The 10516-nt window shown below is 39.7% G+C and overlaps 1 long non-coding RNA gene across 1 annotated transcript; it reads right to left on the minus strand.

Annotated features, from left to right (window-relative positions):
• Positions 1-3463: 3463 nt before the first annotated feature.
• On the minus strand, positions 3464-10273 carry LOC105377465 (uncharacterized). Its single transcript, XR_939276.1, has 3 exons — positions 10211-10273; positions 8202-8344; positions 3464-3863 (listed from the first exon to the last, which is right to left on the minus strand). It is a non-coding gene; the product is annotated as an uncharacterized LOC105377465 (long non-coding RNA).
• Positions 10274-10516: the final 243 nt, after the last annotated feature.

Consider the following 10516-nt stretch of genomic DNA (forward strand, 5'->3'; position numbering starts at 1 on the left):
AGAAATTGAGAAGCTAATCCTCAAATTTATATGGAAATGAAGGAGACCCAGAATAGTCAAAACAATCTTGAGAAAGAAGAACAAAATTATAGTATTCATGCTTCTCAATCTCAAAATTATTACAAAGCTACAGTAACCAGGCGTGGTGGCTCACACCTGTAATCCCAGCAGTTTGGGAGGCTGAGGTGGGCAGATTGCCCGAGCTCAGGAGTTCAAGACCAGCTGGACAACATGGTGAAACCCTGTCTCTACTAAAATACAAAAAATTAGCCGAGCGTGGTGGTGTGCGCCTGTAATCCCAGTTACTTGGGAGACTGAGGCAGTAGAATCACTTGAACCTGGGAGGCAGAGGTTCCAGTGAACTGAGATTGTGCCACTGAACTCCAGCCTGGGTGACAGAGCAAGACTCTCCAAAAAAAAAAAAAGACAATTCTTGGGAGAAGATATTTATAAATCATATATCTAGTAAGGGATTTTATTGAGAATATAAAAGAACTGTTACAACTGAATAAAAAGACAGCCCTATTAAAAATAAGCAGTAGATTTGAATAGCCATTTCTCCAAAAAAGATATAAAAATAGCCAATAAGCACATGAAAAGATTTTTCATTACTTATCATGGAAATACAGATCAAAACCGTGATGAGATACCACTTCACACATACTAGGATGGCTATAATAAAAAAGACAGACAATAGCAAGTTTTGGTAAGGATGTGGAGAAATTGGAACTCTCATACATTGCTAGAGGGATTGTAAAACTCTCATACATTGCTAGAGGGATTGTACAGCCACTTTGGAAAACCAGTTTGCCAGTTTCCTAAAATCTGAAATATAGAATTATCATATGATCGAACAATTATACTTCAAGGTATACATTCAAGATAATTAAAAACGTGTCCAGATAAAAACTTGTATACTAATGTTCTTAGCAACATTATTCATAATAGCTGAAAAGTAGAGATAACCCAAATGTCCATCAACTGATGGATGAATAAACAAATATGGTATATCCATATAATACAATTAAAATCAAAGTACAACACAACAACAAAATGGTGAACCTTGAAAATATGCTAAATGAAACAAGCCTGGCACAAAAGGCCACATGTATGATTCCCTTTATATGAAATGTCCAGAAAAGGCAAATCCATAGAGACAGAAAGTAGAGGGAGTTGAGGAGTGGGAGAATGGGGAGTGGCTGTTAATAGGTAAGATTTTTGAGGACAGGTGAAAATATTTTGAAATTAGATCAGGGTAAAAGTTGTGCATCTCTATGAATATGCTAAAACCATGAAATTGTGCACTTTGAAAAGGTGAATTTTGTGAGATATGAATTATACCTCAATAGAGCTGCCATAAAAAATAAATAAAAATGGGCCAGGCATGGTGGGGCTCACACGTGTAATCCTAGCACTTTGGGAGGCCAAGGCGGGCGGATTACCTGAGGTCAGGAGTTCAAGACCAGCCTGGTCGACATAGCGAAACCTCTTCTCTACTAAAAATACAAAAATTAGCCAGGTGTGGTGGCAGGCGCCTGTAATCCCATCTACATGGGGGAGGCTGAGTCATGGGAATTACTTGAACCTGGGAGGTGGAGGTTGCAGTGAGCTGATATGACGCCACTGCACTCCAGCTTGGGGGATAGAGTGAGGTTCTGTCTCCAAAAATATAAATACATAAATAAATAAGAAGTATAAGTATTTCAAATAAACTTAAAAATTAAAAAAAATGCATTTTATTATAGTAATCTCCCCTTACTGGCGGGAGATACATTTCAAGACCCCCAGGGGAATGACTGAAACTGTAGACAGTACCGAAACCTATACGTTCTGTTTTTTTCTATACATATTAATGCATACTTATGATGAAGTTTAATTTATAAACTCGGCAAATAAAATAGAATAATTATAATAAAATACTGTAATAAAAGTTATGTGAATGTGGTCTTTCCCTTTCTTTCTTTGAAAATATCTTATTGTACTGTACCATGGGGAACTGAAACTGCAGAAAGCAAAACCTCAGATAAAGGGAGACTCCTGTATTTGCTGTTGGGTCTACCACAAGGCTCAGTTGTATAAAGTCAGCCACATTTTCTTGTGCCAAAATCTACCATGTTTCCAAACAATTCAGTAAGTGTTTGTTTCATTTTCCCCAATTAGCAAGAACAGTCAACATGTGTAAACTCATTATTTGGTAATATAATAAGCTTGTCTGGTATTATCTTCTAGGATAAATACTTGTAACTATAAATAGCACATTCAGTCTCCTAATTATCCATTTTTATAAAAATCTTATCCATAGATAATCTAAGATGAAGAAGTAGACAATAAAGTACCAAGAAAAAATAAAGCACCAGTAGAATGAGAAAGTGTAGCAGGACATGAACTTCTTGTTTTAATGTTTTCTTTCTCTTTCTTTGCAATAAACACATTCCAGGAAAGGCATGTCTACTGCCACTCCTGAGAATGGAATGAAGGTATTTCCCTTACCTGTTTTAAAGACTGACCACTAGCCTATAAGGCTATTGCTCTAAGCACGAGTTTTAATGAGCCATCAAGATCTATTGTGGGGCCTGGCATGGTGGTGCACACTTGTAATCCAAGCACTTTGGGAGGCCGAGGTGGGTGGATTGCTTGAGCCCAGGAGTTCAAGACTAGCCTGGGCAACATGGTGAAACCTCGTCTCTACTAAAACCACAAAAATTAGCCAGGAGTGGTGGCGCACGCCTGTAATCCCAGCTACTTGGGAGGCTGAGGCAATAAAATTGCTTGAACCCAGGAGGTGGAGGTTGCAGTGAGCCGAGATCACACCACTGCACTCCAGCCTGGGCGACAGAGCAAGAGTCAGTCTCAAAAAAAAAAAAAAAAAAACTATTGTGAAAGAAATTAAGAATAGTCATTTGATTTGTGTGTGACTATGTACAAAAAAAAAAAAAGCAGAAAGCACATGAAGTGAGATGATAGGAACTGGTGATTGGGACATAAACCTAGGAAAAAATGTCACAGAAAGTAGGAGCCTGGTGCGCAAGAAGTGCAGAGTAGGTGGACTATTACACATAAAGTTTTGGTGCCGCAAAAGAAATAGCACTCGAATATAAAATTTTCTTTTTAATTCTCAGCAAGGCAAGTTACTTCTATATAGAACGGTGCGCCCTTACAGATGGAACAATGGTGAGCGCCCAGGTGGACAAGGGAGGGGAAGGGGTTCTTATCCCTGACGAACTTGGCTGCAGCCGCTGTGTCATTCTCCTGTTAGCTAGGGTTAGACCACACAGGCTAAACTAATTCCGATTGGCTAATTGAAAGAGAATGATGGGATGAGAGCTTTGGCGGGAGTCAGGGCAGAGCAGGTAGCAGGTAATCCTAATGAGTTAGAGTGGAGCAGGTGGTCAGAATGAGTTAGGGTGGAGCAGGTGATCAGAATGAGTTAGGGTGGGGTAGGTAATGGAAAAAGGTTGCTTTATGAGGAAGTTAAGTTTAAAAGTAGAAGGCAAAGAATTGAACATACTGACATATTAATTCTTTGAAAATAAATTTAGAACTCCCATCTAACAGGACTAAGGATTACTGTGAGGCTTACTGCCCAACCAGCCCCAAGCCTTCACAGGGGGAGACTCCAGGCTCTTGCACGCATGGACTCTGCTGGCTGGCACAGACCCAGCTTATCAGCAGATCACCATCTGATTCCAGGAGTTTCACTCTGTCCCCAACCAGCCACTCCACATTTACACCGTCTCTGCAGCGGCTTAAGTCTTGTTGAGGTCCAAGGAGGGCCTTGGATATCTGGAACAATGGTGAGGGTGCTGAAGTGAGCCAGTCATGTTCCCTCCTCCAGCTGGGATGTGTGGTGACTTCTTCCCTTACTGTAACACAGAAAGAAAAAGAAACAAGAAAGAACAAAAAAATGGTAAGTTATGCTCCTGAGCTTACTGAGACAACAATTTACCTATTGTCTCTTGATCCCAAATAGATCCTTTTGTAGCTGCTCACTGATGCCAGGACTGGGACTTTGCAAATTACATTTCCCGAGCTCCTTCGCCAGTTGGCAATCTGTTAAATTCTGCAAATCAGAGGCACAAGAGGGAGATTGGAAAGTTGAAGGGGAGGAGAAGTGACTTCTTTCTGACTTTTTGCTGTTTTTATGTTGGCCTAGCTTTTTCTCTCACCCCCAGAAGAAGCCTCATTACCCTCTCAGAGGTGCCAGGGAGCATGCACTTCTCAGATGTCTTATCCCCAGTTCAGGAGGCCCTTCCTCCAAGGAGATGAGTGGTCATCTCAATATCTTCCCTTTTATTTCCCGAGACCTGAAGGTTGTTGTTTCTGCTGTTCTCTCTGGGTTACCCCAGGGCTCCATTTTTGTTCTTCCAGTCTTACAGCACTTGAGTAATCAATTCTGTCTCTGTAATCTCCCCTGTTCAAATACCTAGCACTGTTTTTTGTTTGTTTGTTTGTTTTCCTTCCTGACTGGACTGTGGCTGATACAATACTACCCTTTGCTAGCTGTAACATGGAGCAACATTCCCTTCTTCTTTTATAAAGGGTAAAGACTGAACCAAAAGAGAAGAAAAAATGGGTAAGTTTTGCTCCTTGGTTAACTCAACCCAAATCATCTTTCTAGCTAAATTTTTAAGTTCATCTCAGTTTGAACTTATGCACTTGTTTTTCAACATGCTTAACCACCACCTATAATGCCTCTTGTCTTAATGAATGGATTTCCATATAAAATAAACACTGAAGACTCTTTTTCTTAGAGTATGTAACACATTTTTGTGAAATAAAAATTATAAAAGTATAATTCCAATTGTATTTGTAAGAGCAGAAGTTCTATTAATATATTTCCAGACCACTCCCCAGATAAAAGAGAGAGACTACCAAATTTCCATCTTCGGTCATCTATCCAGAACCAAAAAGCTCTTCCAGTGGCAAGATATGTAACCCTTTCTTTTTTTTCTTTTCTTCTTTTTCTTCTTTTTCTTCTTTTTTTTGAGACGGAGTTTCACTCTTGTTGCCCAGGCCTGAGTGCAATGTCGAGATCTTTGCTCACTGAAACCTCCGCCTCTCCGGTTCAAGCGATTCTCCTGCCTCAGCCTCCTGAGTAGCTGGGATTACAGGCATGTACCACCACGCCTAGCTAATTTTGTATTTTTAGTAGAGACGGGGTTTCTCCATGTCTGTCAGGCTGGTCTCGAACTCCCAACCTCAGGTGATCTGCCCACCTCAGCCTCCCAAAGTGCTGGGATTACAAGCGTGAGCCACTGCGCCCGGCCCCCTTTCTTTTAATTTTTTTTTTTTTTTTGAGACAGAGTTTTGCTCTTGTTGCCCAGGCTGGAATGCAATGGCGCCATCTCAGCTCACTGCAGCCTCCACCTCCTGGGTTCAAGCGATTCTCCTGACTCAGCCTCCAGAGCAGCTGGGATTACAGGTATGTGCCACCACGCCTGGCTAATTTTGTATTTTTACTAGAAACGGGGTTTCTGCATGTCGGTCAGGCTGGTCTCAAACTCCCGGCCTCAGGTGAGCTGCCCACCATGGCCTCCCAAAGTGCTGAGATTACAGGCATGAGCCACTGCACCTGGCCTCTTTTAATTTTTAAGTAGTCTCCTTTCACCTGCAGAATTTGCAGAGCCTTTTGAGACACTATATCCCCTCCTCCTTCTCTGGCTAAGTTGTGTTTAAGTAGAGCAGCATAAGGCTGATGGATGGTATTTTTTCAAGATGAGTATTTAAGAAAATTCCATAAATAATCTGTGTCAATTACTAGTTTATTGCTTCTTAGCTCCAAATCCACACTTCATTGCCTGCACCATAATAATGAAGCTAGACTTTCTCCTTTGCCAGTTGCCATGATGTTAAGCTTTGTCAGTAGAGGGTGTTGGGGGGATGCTGGCTGGAGAAGAAAAGAGTTTCTCTCTCCCTGGTTGCAGTGTGCTCTTCTTGTCAGGCTCCTGCAGTACTCAGCCACACCCAGTTGCACCCAGTGATTATTAGCATATGGCACCTCCCTATGAACAGCTTTTCATGGGACCTCTTTGGTGACTTGACAGTGGAGTGCTGGCGACAAGTTATTTCTCCATGAACAGCTTCCCCCAGCACTTCATTAGGTGGATTTCCAGCAAGTTTCATTAGTATGGCACCTCCGCAAACTTCTCTGCCATCCACTGAGCTAAGTCCTTGCTGTTTCTATGAGGTCTGGATGTCAGCCCGGAATGGGCTTCCTTATCTCGGTTCTGTGGGTAGTGGCTGCTCCCTAAATCTGCTATCCGTGATATGAACCCAAAAGTACCTGACAGATCTTAATCAATTTAGAAAGTTTATTTTGCCAAGGTTAAGGACACGCCCATGACACAGCCACAGCAGGTCCTGACAACATGTGCCCAAGGTAGTCAGGGTACAGATTGATTTTATACATTTTAGGGAGGCATGAGGCATCAATCAATACATATAAGATGTACATTGGTTCGGTCTGGAAAGATGGGACAACTCAAAGCAAGGGGCTTCTAGGACACTGGTAGGTGAGAGACAAAGGGTTACATTCTTTTTGAGTCCTTGATCAGCTTTTTACTGAGTACACAATTTAGTCTGGCTCAGTGAATCCACATTTTTACATGAATATTAGGGCAGAGGAAGCCATCAGATATGCATTTCTCTCAGGTGAGCAGAGGGATGAGCTTCTGCTCACATCTGTGAAGATAAGCGATCAGGATGAACTTCAACAGAACTGTTTTAGGGTAAAGATCTTGAGGCCCACAAGGAATTTCCTTGTGGGCAAATTGTGAGGGAGGTATGTAGCTTTGTAGGTATTTTATTTAGAAATAAAATGGGAGGCAGGTTTGTCTGACCTAGTTCCCAGCTTGACTTTTCCCTTGGCTTAGTAATTTCCTAGCCTTGTGGAAAAAGTCAGTCTAAGAAAATGAAGTTGACATATAGAGAAAAGCAACAGTAGGAGGAAAATGAAAAAAAAAATGTTGGCGTTAGAGCGCCTGGTTTTAGTATTATCACAGGCACAAATGTGCCCTGGCCCTTACCACGGTTTAGTTACTTGTACCAACTAATTTATTTTTCCCCCTAAGCTACTTTGTGTTAGGTTTCTATCACTTATAATTGAGTATCCTAAAATGTTAACTTTCCTGAGGACCCTTGACCGCATTCTCACTTCCACTCTTTATTCCTTCAGCATATTTTATATGTACTAACCATTTGCTACTTTACACTGTGCTTCTTCCCTAACCGCCCATATGGCACAATTTTACATTTTTAGCTAACGGTATCTAAGGCCATATTTTGCATATATACATTTTGTTATTGCCAATTAGATGGCAATTGGCACATCTGTTACAGTGCCATGCATGTTGTTTGCTATTTAGTTGATGAATGGAAATTCCATAGCGTTACAAATGTGGTTATTTCCCTTTAGGGGTCTTATTTAAATATGTACTACAGGACAGCCCTCCCTCAGTATCCATGGGGTGGGGTGGGGGAGTGTGAAAGGGGGAATTGGTTCCAAGATCGCTGCAGATACCAAAATCCATGCTGTTCAAGTCCCTTGTATGAAATGGTGTCATATTTGCGTACAACCTATGCGTATCCTCTGGTATACTTGGTCATCTCTAGATTACTTATAATACCTAATACAATGTAAATGCCATGTAAATATTTGTTGTGTTTTTTTATTTGTATTTTTTTATCGGTGTATTGCTATTTAAAATGGTTTTTTGCACATATTTTCAACCCACGGTTGGTTGAATCTGCAGATGCAGAACCTGCGGATATACAGGGGGCCAACTGTATATGGTGCCTAAGGAATATTCAGATAGCATACTGTAATAGCAATAGCCTCTATTTGTTAACACTCCATTTTATTTAAGGAACTATGTTTTTCATATATTATCTTGTTTAATTGTCACTCTAGGAAGTTTTGTTATTTGTTTTAAATATGAAAATACTAAAATTACAATAACTTGACAAAACTTGAACCAAGGCTTCACTGACTCCTAAGTTCATCTACTATGCTATACTGCTTCACCCATAGTGTAGATACATTATATTTTGAAAGGAAAACCCCTGAAGGTGTATTGTATATAGTTCAACCTTTGCCTATAAAAGTTGGTTTAGGAAGAATAATTAGGTAGAGCCCAGGGTACAAAAATATTATTACTAAACATTGAACACTGTTCGACTTTTTAAAAAAGTACTGAATCTACCCAAGACAAGGATCCTCTTCATCTGCCTGTTTGATGGTGTGCACACAACGAAATGAGGGCAGTATTAGCAATGTGATTCTATTGGTCTTATTTGCCTTTGATGCTGTTCTATATTGCAGTGAAGAGAAGCTCCAGTCATAGTCCTGAAATAAAACCAGTGACTATTTAAAGCTAGTTTTATTTTTCTGAGAAAAATATAAAATAAAACATATATACAAGTAGCCTTGTCTTAATATCCTCTGACCAAATTGCCTTCTCTTATTCTTTTTTAAAAATTTGTTTGATACATTTCAATATTTTTTTATCAAATTAAGCTTACTGTACATTAAGAAAAGATACACAGAGCAGAATTTTTTCTTTCTTTCTTTCTTTTTTTTTTTTTGAGATGGAATCTCGCTGTGTCACCCAGGCTAGAGTGCAGTGGCGCGATCTGGGCTCACTGCAAACTCCGCCTCCCAGGTTCACGCCATTCTCCTGCCTCAGGAGTAGCTGGGACTACAGGCGCCCGCCACTATGCCCGGCTAATTTTTTGTATTTTTAGTAGAGACGGGGTTTCACCGTGTTAGCCAGGATGGTTTCAATCTCCTGACCTCGTGATCCGCCCACCTCGGCCTCCCAAAGTGCTGGGATTACAGGCGTGAGCCACCGCGCCCGGCCAGAGCAGCATTTTTTCAATAATTATCAGGCCTTTGGAGGTGAGGTTATTAAATTTTAGGTCATAAGTCAAAATTTTCATGTTTGGCTAGTTGAACCAATTAATTTCTTTTTTTCCTAAGCTACTTTGAGCAATTGTTCTAAAAATTTATTTGCTGGAGTTTTTGTGGCTCTTTTTTTTTTTTTTAAAGACTATTATTCATGTAAATAAAGTAATCTCAATTCATTTGCTGTAGTTCACATTTCAACTCTATATCAGTTCCTGGAGAGAACCTTGAAAAGATCAGTTGTGCTGTATCGATTACTTGCAGTCAGAAAATATTTCAGTAGCTGTATTTATGATGTTAAAAAAGATAGATAAAAAGCAAAAAACATTTGTTACATCAGTCAAGTTTTTGTTCTTATGTGTGGCAAATAACTGATTTGAGTTATTATCGTACAATAGGCTAGTTTTGCTTTTATTTTTCTCTTTTAACTGAAATTACAAGTTATCCACAATTCAAAGACTAATTTTGTACCAATAAGGAAACAACAATGCTTTTTGCTGCTTCACTCTGAAAAGCATTATAAAACTGGACCAACTAAATCATACCTCACTTAATGCTGAATTTGAGTTTAAAATCAACACTGTGAAAGAAGGGGATTGTAGTGAGAGCCTAGCCCCACAGAAACTTTTGTTTTTAAATACCTTCCAATGGCTTGGCCTATGTGCAAAAGACAGTTCATCCGGAGATGGGCACACATTTACAAATGGGCTGTTCAATGTTGCAAACAAATAGGTTAACAGTCAATTGAATCATTTCTGCAAATAGGCAGATTTTTACATGTGGACTGCAAGTGGCAGGAGCATATATGTACATGCCTCTGATGTTTTCAAAGCAGGACATCTTAAAGGGACTTTTTTTTTTTGTAACTGCAGCTAATAACACTAAGGATTATACATGTGTTTACTTCTTCCCTGTGAGATTTTCCAAATGCTCAGTTGATTTTTTTTCTAATTACTATTTAAATGAAAAAAAAAATTTGACAAGTAGACACATTTTTGTACTTGGATAATACTGTTCACTCCAATTTAAGTCTTAGCAGCAAAAATAAATTCAAATGCATTTAGGTCAATAAGGGCCATACCAGAATATAGCACATTTACCTGCTTAAAGGAGAGGCTAAGAATTAAGGACAAACCCGTAATCATACCACTCCTACCCTGGACTTGCTCCATGTTCAGCCAGTAAAGAAAACAAATTAGTCTGTTTCTCAAAAGCCAGGGAGCAAAACTGAAGAGAGCCTCAGAAAGCAGAAAAATATATTCCAAATACGCACTAGGAAAATGCCTAAATCGAGCAATCCTCAAGTACCTGAAGCAGTGTGTGTACCATTGGTTTCCAACACAGATTTTTCTTATCTCTTCTCTATTTAAAACATGGAGTGGGCAGAATGTTTTAATCCAGAGTTTTTACTTTCGTAACCTAGGAACGATAATTTGAGGCTTCTAAGTAGGTAAGTGTTGCCATGGATACAAAAAGAAATCTCTCCGAGATCTCCTCCCGCATGGAGCTTATTACTAAAAAAAGGATGTGAAGCTCAAAGTATATCTAGACAGACTCGTGGACTGTTAAGCTAGCTGAACCCTTGGTCTGTTAGTAGTTTTGAAAAATAATTTT

This window comes from Homo sapiens, chromosome 4 (assembly GCF_000001405.40).
Source record: "Homo sapiens chromosome 4, GRCh38.p14 Primary Assembly".
Taxonomy (NCBI): Eukaryota; Metazoa; Chordata; class Mammalia; order Primates; family Hominidae; genus Homo; species Homo sapiens.